The sequence below is a fragment of the Homo sapiens genome, chromosome 12 (assembly GCF_000001405.40).
Source record: "Homo sapiens chromosome 12, GRCh38.p14 Primary Assembly".
In the NCBI taxonomy this organism is placed as follows: domain Eukaryota; kingdom Metazoa; phylum Chordata; class Mammalia; order Primates; family Hominidae; genus Homo; species Homo sapiens.
Genome location: NC_000012.12, coordinates 15,953,577 through 15,976,201, shown reverse-complemented (window position 1 = coordinate 15,976,201; position 22,625 = coordinate 15,953,577). Strand labels below are relative to the sequence as shown.

At 39.2% G+C, this 22,625-nt stretch overlaps 1 protein-coding gene and 1 pseudogene across 3 annotated transcripts in view; one reads left to right on the top strand and one right to left on the bottom strand.

Annotated features, from left to right (window-relative positions):
* DERA (deoxyribose-phosphate aldolase) overlaps window positions 1-22,625 on the bottom strand; it is a 126,050-nt gene that overhangs the window by 61,180 nt on the left and 42,245 nt on the right. For all 3 annotated transcript variants that reach the window (XM_024449001.2, NM_015954.4, NM_001300779.2), the window contains exons 2-5: window positions 19,169-19,266; window positions 17,867-18,014; window positions 16,278-16,373; window positions 13,255-13,389 (exon numbers count right to left, since the gene is read on the bottom strand). In XM_024449001.2, the coding sequence (XP_024304769.1) occupies window positions 13,255-13,389; window positions 16,278-16,373; window positions 17,867-17,879 (244 nt within the window). In that variant the 5' untranslated portion in view covers window positions 17,880-18,014; window positions 19,169-19,266. The remainder of the gene's footprint in view (window positions 1-13,254; window positions 13,390-16,277; window positions 16,374-17,866; window positions 18,015-19,168; window positions 19,267-22,625) is intronic.
* Window positions 3,400-4,384, top strand: EGLN3P1 (egl-9 family hypoxia-inducible factor 3 pseudogene 1; annotated as a pseudogene).

The following is a 22,625-nucleotide window of genomic DNA, read 5'->3' as shown; positions in this document are numbered from 1 at the left end:
AGATATCTCACTGACGGGAAGAAGGGGTATAAATATGGAAGGGGAAAGTAAGAATAAACCATGCAATGCTGGAGTGTAATAGAGGTTATAGTGTGAAGTTGTAAGTTCTAAGACAGATTTATAGACTGATATATAAATAAATAAAAATGAATGTGTGTTTCTATGTGTGTGCTGTGTATATGTGTACGTTCATGTATTTACTAGATCTGTCTGACAAGAGGGCCTAGAAACAATAACATCCCAATAGCAGTGAGTTATACCTAGCACCCAGATCTTGGTTTCTAAATACAGTTAATCAATAAAAGGAGCAAGAGCTCCTTGGAGAAATGACTGATTCCAAAGCTGGAGCAGACAAAGTCAAAGATACGCCTGAAACATCTATTACAAGAAAGCAAGGAAGCTCTCAAAGAATGATGGGAACATAAAAAGGATAGAGGAGCCAGTGTGAAGCAGGTCCCGAAACTGCCTTTGCAAAATTATGACTGAGACAGTAAAAGAGATCTAACTTAACTGACTCCACCTTGTTTCTAACCTTTAAGCTGTCCTTGTTCCTTCCTGTGCACAGGCTGAACTAATTTTGGGAGGAACTTAGTTTATAGTTCATAGTTTAAAACATAGATAATAACAGCCCTTTCCCAAAACAAACCTCCTTCTTGCCTGGGGACTAGACTGCCTTTGTAGAACTAACAAGTTAGCTCCAAGATTAGAAATTACGGCTTAAGAGTCATGCAGCTAGGGGCTGCAAGATTCTCACCCTCCCTAAACTGCTCCTAAGATCAATGCTTGAGATAATTTGCAGACCCTGCACTTGATGGATCAGCTGGCACCACCCAGATCGATAAACTGGCTCATCCGATCTTGTGGCCCCCACCCAAAAACTAATTCAGCACAAGAGGACAGGTTCAAATAATTCCCTAGGATTCCATCTCCTAGCCAACCACTCAGCACTCCTGGCTCACTGACTTCCTCCACCCACCAAGTTGTCCTTAAAAACTCGGATGCCCAAATGCTCAGGGAGACTGACTTGAGTAGTAATAAAACAAAACTCTGGTCTGCCACACAGCTGGCTCTGTGTGAATTACTCTTTCTCTACTGTAATTTCCGTCTTGAGAAACTAGCTCTGTGTAGGCAGCAGGCAAGGTGAACCCACTGAGCGGTTACACTCCCAATGGCCAAATCTGGGACTACTTGAGTATCAAAATAAATAATGATGGTAAAGGATTATAACCAATTGAGTAAAATAAGAATCAATGAGTTCTTACAAACAGGAAGGAAGGAAGGGAGGGAAGGAGAGAGAGAGGGAAGGACAGAGGAAGGGAGCGAGGGAAGGACCTCAATACCACATCTGGCTTTGTAGGGTTCCACATCATGCCCAGATTTGGTAATGCCAACTCTTAAGTATAGAAGAAATGACAGAATTAGAAAATCAGAGTAATAGCTGAAAAAATCATCAATGGATGCTAAAAGAGTGAATAAAAGTTAGATGAGGAAAAGGATATTAACATAGTCTCAAAATATCTCCATTCATAATCTATATTAATTACTTATTAAAATGCAAAATACTTATTAATTTTACAATGGAGAAACTTGGCAGAAACCATCTTTGCCAAGTAAAAAAAGGAACATCATCAATAATGGGACAAATTAACATCTTGTGACTCCTGAAATAATGCATTGAGAAGAACGGAGCAAAAGTTCTGTGGTATACCTGCCAAAAATGTGCAACCTGAATCTAACTGTGAGAAAATACCAAACAAACCCAAACTGAGGTATATTTTACAAAACAACAGGCCCGTAATCGTCAAAGACAAGGGAAGACTGAGGACTGTTCTTAGTATTCTTAGGTTAAAGAATATTAAAGAGATATGAAACAACTGATACTACACCTAATAAAGAACACTATTGGGACAATCTGCAAAATCTGAACAATCTGTACATTTAATGGCCGTATGGTCATCAATGTTAATTTCCTGATTTTGATGCAGTACTGTGGCTTGGTACAAGAGTGTCCCTGTCCTTGTCCTTGTTCTTAGGAAATACACACTGAAGTATTTAAGGGTAACAGGTGAACAGGTCTGCAACTTATTCCCAAATGGTCCAGAAAAATATGTATATAATACATAATTTATATATGTATGTACACACTTCACAGAGGAAATAAGTCAAAAAAAGGAAATGGGATAGCACTTTATAATTGGAGAATCTCAGTGATAAAACTGTAGTTTTGCGTACCAATTTTACAACTTTTCTGTAAGTTTAAAATTATTCAAAAATAAAAGTTAAAAAATAATTTGATATGTTTGTTGTAATTTAGCATCCAGATATTTTTCTTACAGGAGGGCTTTTTAGACTATCAATCACTCTATGGCTTCTATAACTTAAAAAAAAGTGATTACATATGGTACATATTATTCTGTAACATGCTTTTTTCCTTCAATATATCCTTGATATATTTCTATATTAATAAATATAGGTCTATGGAGCAATTATTAATGGCTGCACAATATTCCATCACATGGACATAAAAAATGTATTCAATCATTTTCCTGTTATTGGATACTTAAGGTTCCAGATTTTTTGCTATTATAAGTAATACTTCAGTAAATGTCCTTATAGTTAAATATTTGCAAACATCATGACCTTATTCTCCAGAGCCCTTACTATTTTTTCTGCTTACATATTCACATGTAATATATGTCTGTTGTTAAAAATTCAAACATTATGAAAACTGGAAATTCTCTATTATAAAAAAAGCAATTCTTGCCATATATTATCAAAGATGCCTGACAAATGAAAATGGAATTCCAATACCACGACTGCAAATTAGTCAGAATAATGCAAAATTTAACAAAACACATACACCAGAGAAGTGGCTGGCATAGTGATGTCACATTAAAAACCTATTAATAAATGTTTTGACTTATAATGAGGTTTTCAGGGGTAGTGAAAGTGGGTGTGCTAGAAGCCCAGGATATATTACATTGCAGATGCTTAATCAATATAGTGGCACAACTAGCAGAAGAGTTGTCTCCCGTTTGTCTCCCCGCATCCCTCCTACTACTGCCACACTGAGAAGAAGTAGAGGTCATAACCTGACCTCTGCCTGTCGTTCCCAGCTGAAAAACAAGTGAGGCTGTGTCAGTGGAGTGCTCACTGACAGGAATCAGAGCACTCGGCCACAATGAGAAAGGCCTGTGTGCATCAGAGTGTGGATCCAAGGAGTGGAAAGGAGGGAAAGGGGTCAGACTGCATGTTTGAAACAGCATCCAAATCAGGTTGACAACTGGCCCTACCTTCTGCAATGCTGTCCCCGCACGCCAGCAGGAACTTGCATCGATAGCATTTTAGTTTTCTTTATTTAAGATTAACTTCCAAGTCCAGCACTAGATCGTGGAGTCCCGCACCACTCCCACTGATCCCTGAACGCAGATCCCTTCTCCTGAGAGTTGTGAGCAACTTTCCCCTGTCCCCAGTACTGACTGCGGTGGCTCGGGACCATGGCCACACTCCCCACACCTTGGCTTCACATCACATACATCGTTCCCTCTCTGGGTGCACGCTGGAGGTCCCCGACTTCTGCACTATGCGTGAAATGCCCCTGGGACACATCATGAGGCAGGAATTGGAGAAAATTTCCCTAGAGTACATCATGCGCTGTCTGCGGGAAGTCAGCTTCTGCTACCCGCAAAACTTCCTGGGCAAGGAGGTGGTGGACAACTGCATCCAGGAGCACATTAAACAGCTGCATTGCAAGGGGGCCCTGCGGGACAGCCAGCTGGCTGGGATGTGTGCAGTGTCTCTAAAGGGTGAACTGTGGGGTGATCAGTTCACCCCACAGTTCTGGGAGCAACAAGAAGGGCCGCGAGGCCATTGGCTTCCTCCTGTCCCTCACTGACAGGCTAGTCCTCTAGTGCAGGAGCCACTGGGAAAATACTATGTCAAGGAGAGGTCCAAGGCAATGGTGGCTTGCTATCTTAAAAATGGAATAGGTTACATTCATCATGTGGACACCTCAACAACGATGGCTGCTGCACCACCTGCATCTACTATCTGAACAAGAACTGGGATACCAGGCTACACGGTGGGATCCTATGGCTATTTTCAGAGGAGAAATCATTCGTGGCAGATGTGGAGGCCAATTGTGAAAAAGTCCTGCTCTCCTGGTCAGATCGCAGGAAGCTACACGAGGTGCTGTCTTCCTATGAGACCAGATGTGCTATACTGTTTGGTACTTTGATAATGAAGAAAGGACAGAAGCCAAAAAGAAATTCAGGAATTTAATTAGGAAACATCTGCCCTCACTGAAGATTGACTGTGCTCCAAAATCTGCTGGCCTTGTTCACTTTAGCAATGGTTCCTGAATTATCTTTAAGAGTTGAGATCCGGCTGGGTACAGTGGCTCACGCCTGTAATCCCAGCACTCTGGGAGGCCGAGGCAGGTGGGTCACCTGAGGTCAGGAGTTCGAGACCAGCCTGGCCAACATGGTGAAACCCCATCTCTATTAAAAATACAAAAAATTAGCTGGGCATGGTGGTGGACACCAGTAATTCCAGCTACTCGGGACGCTGAGGCAGGAGAATCTCTTGAACCTGGGAGGCAGAGACTGCAGTGAGCCAAGATCGCACCATTGCACTCCAGCCTGGGCAACAAGAATGAAACTCCATCTCAAAAAAAAAAAAAAAAAAAAAAAAAGAGTTGAGATATAAAGATGGCCTCTTCAGTGACGAAAAACTCCCCATCCCTGTCTTATGTGTGGGACTTAGTGTTTTCTTGCCAAGACTGCATGGACCTTCAGATGCTCTCTTTGCCAGATGAACTCATTTGCTATTCCACCTCCAGAAATTCCAGCAGACATACCAGTTGGCCAGCAGTTTACCTGATAGATTTGGTAACGCTGGCTATCAAGACAAGAGCCTAGGAGCACATGTGAGGAAAATAATCTTGTATTTTATGTATATTTCCTGATTTGAAAGGTTTGAAAAAGAAAAACAACGGCAGATGCCACAGAAAGGCACAATGGAAGCCTTAAAACAGAAAACAGAAATTTATGTCATCTGAACAATTTCCAGATGTTATTAATCCGGGGCTGTTGAAGTCTCTGGAGAATTGTCACAACCTAATGACAACATTATTACCTCTATAAAGGGCTGCTGTCATAGTGATCAATCTGTACATGTCCCATGGTGTGGACACTCCTTTTTCCAAATCTTACAACCTGGATTTTCTGCCTTGGCCCCATTTTGCTAAAAATAATGACTTTCTGAATAAAGATGGTAACACCATTTATTCTCTATTTTCACTTCTTACCTGAAGAATGTAATCCCCAGAAGCTAAAACTAGACATTAGGTTTTTTCATGTTGCTTTGGTGGAATGGAATCTGAATTTAAACCAAAGGATAAATATCTACTTGGTAGTTTGGTGTCAACCTCTGAAAACAACATGGAAAGAATCAGGTCTACAGATATACCAAGTACATGTGTACATCTTGAACAGTCTGAAAAGAGAGATGGAGTTGGAAATGTGGGTGTACCTGTTTTTTTTCAGTTTTCTTTTTTAATGAGCTCATTCTTAACATTATTTTCAAAAATAGAATGGTGTATTTTAAAAAAAGAAATGAAAATTTAAAAACCCTCAAAAAGCTAAAAACACTTATAAATAAATAAATAAAATTAACTTTCTTCTCTCTAGGATCCACCTGAAAGGACGGTATCTTCTCAATTTTGAAGCGGCTGGCAATCTGCTAAGTATTCTGGAAAAGCACTGCTCTAGACATCAAAAACTCTGTTAATAAAACTTATATGTATAAAATTATGATTTAAGTAAGAATCCAAGCGTTTAAAGACTGTTTCCTATCTAAAAGTCATAAAGTATATTTCCTTCTATATTTCCTGCTATTCAAAGGCACTTAAAAATAATTGTTAACGAACATATCTAAGCAATTATTTTTTGAGTATCAGAAAGATGTTCAACACTGCACAAGAATGGCCTGAAAATAACTCTTAAGATAATTATATGTACAGTAAAACACTTAATATAAAATTGTACAGCAACCTTTTAAACTAAAAAAGTCACAAAATGTTCAAGAACACAGTTTCATCCACCAAAGCAACTAATTAATCTTGTAAGACTAAGGCAGAGATGAGCTAACACACCAGATATTATAATAACCTACAAGAGATAAGATGCACATTTTTATCAATAGTATCTGAAGTTTTGAAGAATTGTAGCATAAAAATGAAAATCATAAAAGCATACAGTTGTCGTATTTCCAGAATTTCTGTTATATACAACTTCCAAAACAGAGAAATCACAAATTATAGATTATGTAATTCCTCCCCAAAAAGTAGCTATCGATTTAGAGACTGCTTTTCTAATAAAATATGATTAACACTCTATAAAAGAAATATACCAATTTATTTTTGAGATGTTCTTTCTACCATCCTTCTTGTGTAAAAATCAGCAAATAAGAAAAATAGATTATTGCCCTGATTCAAGGTCTTTAGGATTCTCTTCATGTAAGAAAATGAAAAATAATGTGACTTTGGTGCTGATATTTCATTCTCTTATCCTAAAATGTTTGATAGCCATGATGTATGTACTTCACAGGCCAGATTTAAGAGAGCAATTCAGGGGTAAACAATTGAAGGAGATGAAAAGTACATGAGGCTCTGGATACAGGAGACGAATGGTACTTCCAATTGCCCATTGAACATAAGATGCTGCAGAATGTCAGACAATCCTAGCCACCTTTGGAACTACGTCTGCTGGTGCTCCAGTGTGGAATGAGTCTCCCAAAGCTAGTAAAGCCAGCTCCAGGTCCTCAGCTCATGGAGCTAGATTCCTGAACAAGGTGCAATCTGATAGCATTTCCCTGTCACTGGTAAATATATTAGGTAAATAGATGCAACAGAAAGAGGTCATAAAAAAAGTAAAATGAACACCTCTGTATATTTACAGAGCATGGAAACTATTCAATTTTTAAAACCTGCTCAATAAGATTTATGAAATGATGAACAACTTCTGGTGAATGCTTTCTTCAAAGAACTGTTTAAGGAGTGCATCTTAGATGTCAACTTCAACACCACCATTAAGAAATACTGTATTACATGTACTAATCATGGGAATAATATTCACTGAAAATGAAAACACTAAACATAAAATTAAAGATCATTATAGCTCTAAAGGGTTGTAAAAATCATTATGTCCTAGCCCCTCATTTGTAACATTTACATGGAAGCAGAGAGAAGTGAAGTGTTTACCCAAGGTCTAGGTATAAATTATCAAAATCATAAAGACTAAAACCCAAATCTTTAGAGTTCCACTTTATTCACTTAACACATGTGCTATGTGTCACTTCCCTTGACAACAGACCATCATCGGGGCAGGAGGAGGGAGAAAGAGAAGGCAACACTGCAGCTGGCAAGGAGGGCTGCATCTGGGCCAAGCAACAGGATGATATTTTACATACATTATCTAATTTCTTCCCTATTGTAACCCTGTGAAGTAGATGTCATTATCTCCACTTTACATAGAAGGAACAGAAAGCACAGAGAAGAACCTGTCCAAGAGTAAACGGTAGAGCCAAGATTCCAGCCAAGATCTGTCTAATGCAAAGATGCAGCTTTCAACTATTCCTGCTTTCCCAGTACTGTCCTCCCTTCTTACCCCATGGTGCATTTGTTCTGGGTCTGACTGTGACACCAGCAATGACTGGGTGGCCTGGCTGCCTGGCCGGGTGATGTCCCCACTTGGATGCTATCTTTATCAGAGAGCACAGCCATCCCAGGGAGAGGAAAGTCTTCTTTTCTCAAGAGCACAGGAAGCAGATGCACTTCTTAGCTAAATTCACCAGAATAACACTTTATTCATCAAACTCTCCTGTTTACAACTAACTACAGATCCAGGCTAACGGCATAGAAACATACAGGAAATACAAGATGTACTAATTAATCAACTGATTAGTATTAGTAATACAATAAAACATACAATATATAAATGTATTCAATGTATGAATTTACGTACATTGTTGTATGTAAATTCAACAATGTTTCCATTATCTGGCACCTAAAGTATATGCAACTAAGAACTGGAATTATGTCAAAAAAAAAAAAAAGAAGAAGAAGAAAGAGTCCTGAGTTAGTACTTCTTAATAAGGACATGGGACTGGTGGGGAAGGAGAACAAAATCACCTGGAGGGATTTTCCCCATTTAGAAGCCTATTCCTCCCTCACATACACACCTCAATTCTTTTATCACAAATGCCCAGGGGGATATGCTAATCCTGTCAGGAAAGCAGCTGGGGCAAATCATTTGAAAATGTTTGTCAGGTATTGTAATTTTGAGAGCCTACAATACATGCCACACCCTATAGGGTTAAAACTATGGTGGTAAGTGAGAAATGTAGTTATCCACGTTTCCATGTCCAGCTAGACAGGAGTGACAGAAGGATTGGCAGGGAAGGACAGTGTGCCGTCACGAGCTCAACATGATCTGACAGTAAAAAGCTTAACCACTAAGGAGTAGGCAAAAAAACAGTAACAAATAAGAAGATACATAAATCAAAAAGCACAAGAGTCTGGACTGTGAGCTATGAGGCCAATCATCTCAGAGATTCCACTGGCCCCTGAAAGCATCACTGTATTCTGGGATAATATAATCAGTAATGAAACAGTTTGGAATAATCAAGAAAAAATTAAATTGTATTTAATAAAAATTGTTAAGAAAGTCAGGGAAATGAAAACACTTTTTAATAGTTTTTGTTTGTTTGTTTGTTTGTTTGAGACAGGGTCTCACTCTCTTGCTCAGGCCATTTCAGAAATAAATCTATTAGGCCAGGCGCAGTGGCTTATGAGTGCAGTGGCACAATCATGGCTCACTGCAACCTCTGCCTCCCAGGCTCAAGGAATCCTCCCACATTCAAGGAATCCTCCCATCTCAGGCCCAACCTTGAGTAGCTGGGACTACAGGCGCATACCACAACACCAGGCTAATTTTTGCATTTTTTTTTTTTTATGCAGAGATGGGGTTTTGCCATGTTGCCCAGACTGGTCTTGAACTCCTGGGCTCAAGTGATCTGCCTGCCTCAGCCTCCCAGAGTGCTGGGATTACAGGCATAAGCCACTGTGCCCGGCCTAATAGATTTATTTCCAAAATAGCTATATTTCTCTGATTTTGTCAAGGGTCAGTGATATTTGAATGTCTACTTATATGTAAATGATGGGTAAAATGCAACATGGTGTAGTGATACAACGGAATACGAGTTCTGGAGCAGGTGGCCCCGGGTCCAGGTGGTCCTGGTGCTCAGGAGGTTTGGTTGTCTTTGCCATAAGGAATGTAACTGAAATCAGCAAGGACATGACGTTTCCAAAGGAAAGCACACCAAGGTTGTGGAAAAGTCACACTGGGACAGAATCTGAGAACCACAGTTCTCAGATTCTGAGAAACATGGACACTTCAGGGATGACAGAGGAGGTGAAGGAGCTTGCAAATGAGACGCAGGGGTAATCAGAAACAGAAAGGAAGACCTCAGGAATGTAGGCACCAAAGCCACAACAACAAAGCATTACCAGAAGGAAGGAACAGTCTGCTGTGTCATATGTTGCATGGTAATGCTGAATAAACAACTGGGGAGTATGCCCTGGACATAATGAGATGACAGGTCATTAGTATATTAGTTTGAACTTCTCAAGACAAACAAATAAATATAACTCTTTGCAGAATTCTTTTTTTTTTTTTTGAGAGGGAATCTCACTCTGTCCCTCAGGTTGCAGTGCAGTGGCGCAATCTTGGCTCCCTGCAACCTCTGCCTCCCAGGTTCAAGCAATTCGCTCACCTCAGCCTCCAGAGTAGCTGGGATTACAGGCATGTGCCACCATGCCCAACGAATCTTTGTATATTTAGTAGAGATAGGGTTTTGCCATGTTGGCCAGGCTGGTCTCAAACTCCCAACCTCAAGTGAGGAGGACGCCTCACTCCAGAGCGTTGCTGCGGAACCAGAGCTTAGGGCGGCAGCAGAGCAAGAGGTGATGAGGCCTCCCAAAGTGCCTGTTTCAGCCTCCCAAAGTGCTGGGATTACAGGTGTGAGCCACCGCATCGGGCCTTCTTTTCAGAATTTTAGTCATGAAGGGAAGAGAAGAAAGGAGGACGTTGCTGGGGATGAAGGAAAAGGAAAGCCAGCATGTAGGTTCTTTCATAAATGGCTAAGAAAAGCTTGAGTATGTCTAAATGCTTAATGGGAATGAGCTGGCAGAAAGGCTGATGACACGGAAGAAAGAATGCCCAATAGATAGAGCAGGGCTTCTGAAAATGCAGGGGGAGATGAGAGCCACAGCACAGTCGAGGGAAGGAATTTAGGAGGAAGGAGCAAAGGAAGAAGCAAAGAAAAGCAGCCCTGATGCAAGGACCTGGAGGGAGCTCCTGTCTGATGATTTTATTTTCTCTGAGAAGTAGGAGGCAGTTCATATGCTAACAGTGAAGGAGCTTCAAGGAGGGTGGAAAAGTTAGAAATTTCAGGAAAGTGGACATTTTAAATGGTCACTAAGGAGAACCCAGAGAGGAATATCAAACCTCCCCCACCCCCAAACTCCAGTCTCCTCGAATTCATACCCTAAACTGTGGACTCTCACATCCATGAGAAATGGTTAAGACCACTCTGAAGGGCCAGGTTTAAAAAATGGGGCTCTTAATGAGAACACATGGACACAGGGAGGGGAACAACACACAGTGGGGCCTGTTGGGGGAGGGTGGAGGCAGGTAGTGCATTAGGGAAAATAGCTAATGCATGAGGCACTTAATACCTACCTAGGTGATGGGTTGATAGGTGCAGCAAACCACCATGGCACACGTTTACCTATGCAACAAACCTGCACATTCTGCACATGTACCCCAGAACTTAAAAAATAAAATGGGGTTCTTTCTATTGTGCTTTACCAAATATCCTACAAACCTCACTGCACAAGGGAGAGGGCCCTGGATTTAAAACTGCAATTGCTTGATAGACATTTCCATCCACAAATTCCAAGAAATTATTTTATGCTCATATTTTAATAAACAGCTAATATTAAAACATGACACTGAAAAATACAATATGTAATCAAATTGAGAATCAAAATTAAGACAAAATATTGCAGCAAAAAGTCCTAAGTCATTTCAGGTTTCTATTTAGAATTAAATTTCTAGTATTAAATGTTCCTTTTCAATTTGTTTGGGTCAAGAGGTTATTAACACTAGAAAAAGAGTTAATATAAAAGTATGGTCCAGGACAAAGATCTGTCATTACATTTTGCATAAACGCCTGTTATTGGGAAATTATCAGTTCTTAAAAACAACCATTCCTAGTTCATTAAGGGGCAGTCAGCTACATCAAAACCCATCTCCTATTGTATTTTATTTTCCAATTAGTAGCATAATATAAACCATATTTCTATATCCACAACTGCTTAATAAAAGGTGTAAGTTATAATATAAACCCAATTTCTACATCTACAATTGCTTAAGATATAAAGGACATATAGGTTTGTATACAACTAAATCACATAAAGTTTATTGCCAGATTTGTTTTAAATACTACGCTTACTCACTTTTTCATTTTACTCTAGCCTTAAATCTTAGTGAAATCCGTGACTAAAAGCAGATAAGCAAAATTAATATATAGGAACAGAGATATCTATTTAAAATACGCCTTTTCAGAATGACTGTAATTGGCTAAAACACACACATGAACAATCACAAAAAAGGAACACAAAATACAAAAAGATATTTGTGAACTGTCAAGAGTTTAAACCTGGCAAGAATTATAAATGTTGATGAGTATTAATGGGGAACTTGGGGGGCAGTGGGGTGAACGCAATGGAAATGGGAATGTACAGGAAAGTAGTTAATATTCCAAGCTAAAAACTCTATTTTCCAGCTTACTTGCAGCCAAGAATGGCCACGTCACTCAGCTCAGGCCAACGGGCAAAGGTGTAATAAACAAAGGTGTTGTGTGAGACTTGATGAGAAAAGCCTTTCTTTCCTATGGTCTTGGAGATGAGTGTAAGGTGCTGGAGCTTCAGAAGCCATCTCAGACAATGAAGTGCCCTTGACATTAACAGCAGAAGCCACATGCTTTGGAACTGGAATATAAACGTAGCCCGGGTCTCCAAGAACTTTGTGGAGCTGCCACACACCCCTGAAATACCTACCCCTGGACTTTATATAAGAGAATAAATACTGAGGGTTTAAACCACTGACTGAACATTTGCTACTTCATAACCAAAAGCAATTCATAATTGACAATCAATGGAATTAGGCTTCACAAATAGACATAGGCTTTACAGATACAGATGGATAGAAACAGTCACAGGAAAATACCCATGAGAAATAGGCAAGTCCAATAAGCAGGTTAAATAAGAGATAAAATCCTATCTCTTATTTAAACTTTAAAGGAGTGTGGGAATAGCCTCCATAATTAGTATAAAATATGCCATTTATTTGATATATAAAGAGACAATATACTATCCTGGCTTTAACTTGTGATTTCATTAAAAATTTTTGGTTAAACTATTTATTATAATGACTTTTTTGAAAGAGAATTTTACTTTTCTAGCTACCAATGACCTCATCTTTAGTACACAAAATATATTTAAGACAGAGGTAAAATCTATTTGATTCTTTAATATCTGTTTAAAAAAACAAAAGCTTGTTGCTGGAAAGGGCAATGTCTTAGTGTATGCTGACGTGATAGTGAATCATTAATTTCATGATAGTCATCAGAGCTGTGTCTAAGAATGCTAGAAGTAAAAATAAACTTAGTCAACTTAATAATCCCATACCTTTAAAGACTGCAAAAATTAACATAAAAAAGGGAAGTTTCCTCCAATATATTCAAATAAACTTTGCATAAAAGACTTGCCTGGAGTGAAGTATGTATTGAGTAACAAAACAGTATAGAATAGTAGTAACTTTTCCCTTCTGAAGAAAAAGCATGTTGGTAAAATAAAATTGTTTTAAAAGTTATGAATCTATTGCATGGAAGTAACTATTCACCTAAGCACTCAAAAGGATCTGAAAAGTTCATGTAGGTAGGCAACTGCCTAGATTTATGAGGGGCACAAGGATGGGTAATCTTAGCCTGCTTTCTCCTAAACTCACCATTTGATCTACTAACTTGTCACCTAGAACAGTGACCTCTAAAACATACCACATCTTACCTCATCATCTGATTCACCAGGGAAGAATGGTGAAACTCTCTTAGGTAAAAGCATGCACCTACCTTCCCACTGGCCTGTCAGCACCAAGCTTCTGTTAATTACCACGTCGATTTCTGTAGCTCCATCTTCCACAGCCAATCTGATCTCTTCTAATCGTGTCTTCAAATGAGTCTGTCCAGCTGGAAATCCAGCGGCCACTAATAGAGTTAAGAAAGGAAATGAAGAAAGAGGGAAGGAGGGAAGAAAGAAAGTAAGCAAGGGGGGGAGGGGAAAACAAATTTCAATTGGTCAGTAGTAGTTCATCAAAGAATTCCAAACCCCCAAACATCAGCATTTAAAGACCAATGCACTGACACTTAAGAACATCACTTATGCATAAGTGTGAAGAAATTGAATGTTCTCTCATATTAGTGTTAGGACAAATATCATTTTCTGGAAGACCTGAAATTAAGATGCTGCAGAGATGCTCATGAAGGTGGATTAAGTAACCAGCAAAGATGTTTTATCTTCACAGTGATAGCCATAAAATAGTAGTGGTAGCCCTATCTTAATGAACACTAGTTATCTAGCACACTAGTTCTGGGTCCAAATCTTGATCAAGTTAGCTATCTTGATTTACTCATTTACCCTTGATTTATCTTGATTAATTCTCTCATGAACCTCTTTAGCTGTGGTAAACAAACTGTCCTATGTGTTCCTCCCACTGCCTATGTTAAAAACAACCAGCCTGGCAGATGAGCATAAAGAAAAGAGAATGCAGGAGGAAAACACACCTAATTAGTCCACCAAATTGAGGCAGGGGCAGGGTTGGGAAGAGCAGAGCCAAGTGTAAATAAGAGGAAAATGAAAACACAAAACACAACTACACTCTTGAAAAATAGTAACATCTTTTACATGCACATCATTAACTCTCCATCCCTGTTTCTAAAAAAACCTGTCATGTTACCTTGATATTAAATTCCTTGGGGCTGGGCACAGTGGCTCTTGCCTGTAATCCCAACATTTTGGGAGGTCAAGGCTAGCGGATCATCCGAGGTGAAGAGGTTGAGACTAGCCTGGTCAACATGGTGAAACCCCATCTCTACTAAAAGTATAAAAATTAGCCTGGTGTGGTGGTGCACACCTGTAGCCCTAGCTACTTGGGAGGCTGAGGCAGGAGAACTGCTTGAACTCAGGAGGCGGAGGCTGCAGTGAGCCGAGATCGCGCCACTGCACTCCAGCCTGGGTGATAGAGCGAGACTCTGTCTCAAAAAATAAAAATTAAAAAAATTCCTTAGGTCTGTTACCTTAGAGGAAAGCATGTTTCTCTGTTGTTTAAAGCAAAAACTGAACTGACTGAGGCTGATGAAAAATTAAGGTCTATACAAGTGTAGCTGCCAAATACTTCAGGAATCCTCATAAATCAATTCTATATAAATACTGTGCACCATGTTTCTTTTAATATATTCCTAATAAGCTAATGACCTTTATAAACTCCTTTTAAATTTTTACTTATTTTATTTTTTTGTAGAGATCTTTGTTGCCCACACTGGTCTCAAACTTCTGGCTTTAATCAATCCTCTCGCCTGAGCCCCCCCAAAGTGTTGGGATCACAGATGTGAGCCACCATGCCTGGCCTAGACTCCCTTTTTAAAGCATCAGGATATTCCTCTAACATCTCTTAAAACTAGAATCTAATTTTATATCTGTCTATTCATCCATCCATATACACACAGATACACATTTACCAAACTAATGTTTTAAAGACTTTTCTGTCATACCAAGTCCTACCGTGTCTATCTGAAGTCAGTGACTTCTGAATGCACTCTCTCCTTTATCTTCTAGGTTTTGTGTGGCTTTTATCAGGTCCTGCATGTACTGTGACAAGTCTCCCCTAACTCCATTTCACTCCTTTTCTAATTTATCCAGTACCATCAGGTAACTTACTATGCCATGAAGCTGATCACGTCACGCCTCTAACCTTTCAGTGTCTTCCCTATCATCAGAATACAGGCCAAATGCCCCCACATGGCATGGATCCCCTCTGCAATTCTGCCCTGATCTCCCTCTCTAGCTTCAACTCCTGTATCTCCCCCTTTGCCCTGTCTTCAGAGCCCTGCCTTTGTAGTCAACAACAGCAAACCTTTTCCAGTTCCCTGAACATGCTTTGTGCCTTCACACGTGCTAGTGCCTCTGTCTAACATGTGGTTCCCTACCTTATTAACACTGTGAACTCCTCCTCATCCTTTAAGATCCAATGCAATTATCTCCACGACGATGCTTTCTCTTACTTTGGTGTCACCAACCTCTGCAGAATATATCATTCCCTGCTCAGAACCGCAACTACACATTTTGCACATATCGTTGTTTTTTTTTTTTTTTTTTTTTTTTTTTGAGACGGAGTCTTGGTCTATCACCCAAGCTGGAGTGCAGGGGCATGATCTCAGCTCACTGCAACCTCTGCCTCCCAGGTTCAAACGATTCTCCAGCCTCAGCCTCCCAGCAGCTGGGATTACAGGCACCTGCCACCATGCCTGGCTAATTTTTGTATTTTTAGTAGAGATGGGGTTTTGCCATGTTGGCCAGGCTGGTCTCGTACTCCTGACCTCAAGTGATCCACCTGCTTCGGCCTCCCAAAGTGCTGGGATTATAGTTGTGAGCCACCGTCCCCAGCCCGCATATCATTATTATTATATTTTACATATATATGTATAACAGAACATGCATACATGTGTGTGTTAGTATGTATATAGTTATATATATAGTTAATATGTATATATACATATACATATATAGTATGTATATGTGTGTGTGTGTGTGTGTATATATATATATACTATATGTCATGCCTTATGACTTTTTTCTTTACCTGACTATTCCTCCTAAACTGAGTTTCTTTAAGGATAGGAATACAGTTCTATATTGTTGGGAATAAATGTCTTCCACTTACTAAGCAATTAGTACATACTAAAATCATGAATAAATACAACTAATTAAATACATAAACTAATTTAAATCATAGTACAAACCTACATATAATACCCCATTGTATGAAGAACTGGAAACATGTTTAAAAAATAACAACAAAAGCCACAACACATTTTACCTGATGCCACAGGGATATTACAGCCTGCAGCCTTGAGTGCTTTTACAGCATCACACACCCGGGCGGGATAAACACAAACGGCGGCTGTAGTAATGCCTATCAAGAAAAAATAGGAATAGCCAACTTTCAATGAAGTTCAACTCATACAACATGCTTTTAATTATTATTTATATCGCAACACTGGCAAAAATCAAATGAGAAAAAAATAATTCCCCCACAATACTGCAATAAATTAAAAGATTTTTATTTTCCACATTCCCTTCTAGTTCTTGACAATATGGATTATTTTCTTATCGTTAAAGTCATAAAAACAAGTTTGATATACTCATCTTTGAGATTAACATAGTACTGTTTTTTAAAAATGTCTAAATAGTAAATTTGGTGATCATTACTAAATGCAAATATTTCATGTAGATAACAAAATCCATATTTACAGAGCATTCACATAGGACATACCTGAAGAAAGGACAGTTTGAAGAAGGACAGATGAAGACAAATATAAGTACAATTTAGAGGGTGGTACCACAAAAATGACATTTAACTAATCCTATTCCCTCTTTTGCAAGAAATAATAAAATCTGAAACGGAAGCCCTGATTTTAAGAAATAAGTTCATAAATTTTAAAAAATTTAGAATTCAAATAGTCACTATAAAACAAAGCAATATCATAAGACCTTACATCAAGTTGTTACCTTTAAGTGCAATAAATAAGGTGATATTTTTATGGCCAACACGAAATAAACATAATAAATACTTTTCAAAAGCCGTAGAGTTGTTTAGGTTTGTATGTTACCTACAAACCTAAACGTGTTTATTTGGGATAAAAGACCTGCATTGGGCCAATTCAACGTCTCCAGTTGCACTCACAGCAGATAGGCACTCGGGGGCCATGAAGCATACTCCATGGGAAGGAGACCTGGCTCCCAAAACCAGCCCAGCAAGTAACAAGACGTGTAGCCTTGGGAATGCCGCTTAGCCTTCCAGGTCTTTGTTTCTTTATTTAGAAAACAAGGGAATCAATTCTTACAGGTGTCCAACATCTCCAAAATGCTAAGGTTCTAAACTTATGGCAACTCTAGAAAAGTCCTTCTTTTCATGTATACTAAGGCAGTGAATATGACTTTTTTTGAAAGATCTAACCTAATATATAAGCAGGCTATATTTCTCATTTGCACTTTATTTTCAAAAGTATTTCATATACTCACAGAAAATACTTTATGTATGAGATGTGATTATTAAGTAATGAGACTGGCTTTTTCACGTATGGCTAGGGAATCAGAAAGAGTATTTCAGTGTCACTAAACAGAAATTTTCCAAAACTGAAGAACTGAAAAGAAATAAAGTCACTCTCTACCAAGCATTTTAATCCATTGATGGAAAGAACTGACCTCAAAAAAAAAAAAAAAAAAAGACTCAGATTCTCTTCCTGCTGTTTTTCAGAGAAGAATCTGTCTATGTATACACAGCAAGAGTTTCTATCATGGATTCTATCACCGCTATCATTAGCAGCTGTATCTTAAGTCGTCTTTGATTTAGTAATCAGTATTGTAAGCACTAAACACCACATAGATCACACACAACAACATTACCTTTATCATGCATATTTAAAGCTTTTAAGAGATCTTCCCGGATTGGGTATTTGGCTTTATAACAGAGCCTTTGAATGTTGGAAGATGTATCATCACCTGAAAGTGTAGTAAGATCTATAAAGGTAACAGCTTTCAGGAGCCAAGCAGCCTGGTTTAAACAAAAGTGAAAACAAAGTAAATTTAATAAATAAACAAACCAACCAACCTCCAACCCAGGTGGTTAGTAGAGAATCATTAGACAAGTATGGGTGTTAATATCTTATGCCTACACTGTTCAATGGAATATCCTGATACATGATATAAACACAGCTCAAGAGCCACTAACAAGGTGAACACTGCCCAAAATAAAAGGGAGGAAGAGTAGGCTTAAACATTTTTTTTCTCCCACAGATATCCCAAATTGAAACCCCTATTAGCCCATGTCTCCCCACTTCTGACTACTCCATCTCAGCCAAAGGGAGAGCCCATCAGAGCCACCCTGACAAAGAAGAACTCCGAAAGAAGGTTTCTACCTTACATTTTACCTCCCGCTCTGGGATCTGGGATGAGATTATCATTTTTAAAAGTTTCCAAGTTTTTTGGTGTTTTTTCAATTTAATCCAATTCCATTTTTAAAACAATATTCATATTTCACAACTCAGTCTGATGAATTTTATTTTACCTTTTCAACCAGAATATTTCTAAGGATGAGCAAAACGTGAACTATCACTCTCAAGGATTCAATCACAGTATTCTGTCTCACTTGTGAAATGAACTCTGAATTCCCTTTAATCCTACACAGCACGTCTTTGGTTGGGATACACTGAAGAAAATGCTGACCGCAAGTACTCTACGAAACATCATTTTTGGAATTTTGAAAAATGATTTATAGAAAGTAATAGTAAGGTAAATATGATGGTCAAGAAAGGTCAACTCTTATACCTAAGGGCCTCAACAGTGGACACATCAAGTTTAGATGTTAGGGCTTTAAAATTAAAACAGAAGACAACCAAAGAAGGCATGTCTAAAAAACTGAATAAATGTGTTGAGAAAATATGCCATTTAATTCACTCATGAATAAAGATGCCTCAAATTCATTTGCGGTTTTGCCACTCAAGAGTGATAAGATTTTAACTTGTTTGGATAAATGTGTTATCTTTCTCCAACCCATCATCATCATATATGAATTATTAAAATAAGTCATGGACAGCTGCAATCTTTTAAGTTTAGATGCATCTTGAGTGAAATTCAATATTGTGGCCTTGAGGGAAGAGACCATGCATTGTAAAATACAGGCACAGAATGCTCAAGAAGAACCCTTACCTGCCACTCCTTTTTCACGGTTCTGCGAGCCTGGATTTGTTCCGCACGCCTCAGAACTGCCGGGTGATTCACTTGTATTTTGGAGATCCAGCTAAGGTCTAAAACAGACAGAAAAACACTTTCTGAAACCTAAAGTTTCATTAAATATAGTCACCTATTTTTACATGGTCCTTGAAAGGATACATTTATCATTTGACATCAACCTTTTTTTAAAGCTTATATTTCTTTTTTGTACAACTATAAATAAACAACCTTATTGATGGAAGACCAGTCAACAAAAGGCATACTTCATGCAAAATCACTCCATTACTTTCAAAGGCAAAAACCACAATTGCTTCTGTACCAGCCTATACATTTGGAACTGGAAGAACCTGTATTGATTCATCACACAGACATGTCTAACGACGTGGGAAATGTGTGTTACCCATGCCACGTACCTCACCTCTGAGAGCAAAGACTTACTGGTGAGTGTCCAGCCCAGGAGAGCAAATGATTAACAAATCTTAAGTGAACTAATGGTGGGGCTTACAGAATCTGTGCTCACTACCCGCTTACTGGCAAGATTAATACCTACTGCATGCTGACAGGATACAGCCCATTCTTTCTTCAAAGAAAAATTTTTCAAAATGTATTAGAAATAACAACATTGACTGATATAACAGAAGTTAGAAAAAAAGAAAAAACAAATTATTTAAAGTTTCAGGAGCTATCTCTGTTGCTTTTGTTCTGAAATGCTCTCTCCTACCTTGATCTACTCTCTCTTCTCTTCCAGTTAACTGTAATTTCTACCTTCAGACCTAGTCTAAATATTAGCTGTTGTGAAAACACTGTCAGCTCCCCAGACAGAGCTAACATTTGGATAGATCTCTACCACAGAACTTGTAATCAATTCATCAAGGATTCCTGGTGAAACCATTCGTTGTACTTAGTACATTGTCAGCCATGATGTTACTCATCTTTGGGTGTCTAACATCCAACAGTGTTTGGTACACATATTTCAACTTCATCCACCAATATCCTATAAACATAGGTGGCCTCACGGTAAATCGGACATGAACATTATTTACCTTCTATAACTAACCTCACTTCTATATCTCTCCAGCAATTCCATGTTTTTAAAAGAGCCTTAAAAGAGTACTGTGGAAAAAAAGTTATCCATTAGAAAAAATGCACTAATTACAAAACTCTTTATAATGCAATGAGGAAAACTGCTAATCACATACTGTATCATGTAACAATACAAATTGAAGTATTTGCATCTAAACTAATGTTTACAGATGACATTCTTTCTCTCACTCATTTTCATTTCATTCTTCTTAAAAGTATCAGTATTAAAGGTATAGAGATTGCAAGGTGGACTCTGAGTGATTAATAATGATCTTATTTAAATTTCACTGAAGAAGGAAGAGAGTTTGGGTGCTTCTTTTTCTCTCTAATTATTTTGTTAGCTGAAATCATTTAACAAACCAGATTTTTAACATTTCAATCCATCTGCTCCTGCTCCTCAAAGATATTGTATGTTTTCTTGCTTGTTTGCTGAGCCAACTTCACAGAGAAAATGGGAGTCTGGGGTCAGGCCGATGAAATCTGCCTCTGCTTTCCCACTCAAGGGCTGTTTTTGTTCTAGCAGAGCCCGAGAAAATCAGACCAGACACTCTAGACTTCGTCCCAATTTATCTAAGACCTGTAAGAAACACCCCCTACTCAAACGCAGGGGAGCCTCTTTTTTTTTTTTTTCAGACACAGTCTCTCTGTCGCCCAGGCTGGAATGCAGTGGTACGATCTTGGCTCACTGCAACCTCCACCTCCCGGGTTCAAACGAACTCATGCCTCAGCCTCCCAAGGAGCCAGGGCTACAGGCGTGCGCCACCACGCCAGGCTAATTTTTGTATTTTTAATAGAGACAGGGTTTCACCATGTTGGCCAGGCTGGTATCGAACTCCCGACCTCAAGTGATCTACCTGCCTCGCCCTCCTAAAGTGCTGGGATTACAGGCATGAGCCACTGCACCCAGCCCTAAGAGGCTTTTTTTTTTTCTCCTCAGATGATTGATAATGCTGATTTGGTTCATGGTAAAGACTGTTTCAAGCAGATATAGAAAAATGAGTGAAGAGTATGTGAACTCCAAGACTCACTGCCAACTAATTGTTGACCGTGATCAAAAAGAGGTAGGCCTATTACTCAGTGGGGCAAGGCTTTGACAGGCTGTCCTTTATCGGTCACAGGACACCCCTGAAGTCCTTCCCATTCTCTACTCCCAACGCACCACTACCACTACTGTCGCCACTGGAAACACTGGCACCACTGTTGGAGAGGGGTCTCAGGCAAACACAAGCCTCTTCCTTCACCATCTGGCTCCTTCCTCATTCTCAAGCCCCAGCTCCTCCCTCACTGCTCCTCTGCCTCTGTGGTGCAGCCTTCCTAAACTACTGGCAGTTCCCTGACACATTATGCCAGGCTGTCTCTGGATCTGTGCATGCTGCAAGCTCCTTCTACCAAGAATGCCCTCCCTGCTTTGCGAACAGTGAACTGCTGCTCATCCTTTAAGAGTCGATTCAAATGTCACCTTCTCTGGGAGCCTTCCCTGAACCTCACAGGTTGAGACATCCCTTTGCTTCTTCGTGCTTCCATGAAACTCTGCATTCCACCTTTAGTACATCCCCTTCACTCAGAATGCCACTGATGTGTCCAAATGTTTATGTCCCCAAAAGATTTTTTAAAACTCCAAGCGAAGGACCTGACGCACGGGTGGCATACGATAAATAAGTCGAGTGGTTCCCAAAGACCAGAAAGGATTTAATTCTGGGCAATGTCTTTCTCCACTGCTTCAGACTAGAAAGGGCTTTTGGATCTCTACAAGAAAATATGGGACTGAGGTATGAATGGGATGCCTGGGAACTTTCCCCTTAAAAACCAATTTTGAGTACACCAAAGGTTAGAACTCACAAGGTCTGCTCTTGCACTTCTCAGAAACCTCTTGCCAGAGGTCCCTGCAAACCATCTACTGGAGAATGTAATAGGATTTCTTCTCTCACAGTATCAGCCTTGACTGCTAAAAATATCATTAGCGGTCATAAAATTATCCAGCCCCATATTTAATGTAGCCACAAAATTTGCCTCTGTGACCTCCCATGGCAATGAATTATGTAAGTGACTATCTCGTTTTATTAGCACTTAATTTGCTACTCTTTAATTTCATCAAATAACCCATGTTCTCCTATTATGGGGTCTGGGGAAAAGAAAGGACTGATTGGCCTTTGTTATGTCCTCCATAATTTTTAATATTTTATTCAAGTACCCTTTAGCGTCTCCTTTCCAGGAGAAGTGATTCTAATGCACATAATCTCATCAGGACCAAAGAATCTTCTTATGGGGCCAAGAGGGGTTTTAAGTACACATGCCTTTGGGGAGAACAGATATGAAACCATAATTGGAAGGCAATGATATCTTCTCTTAA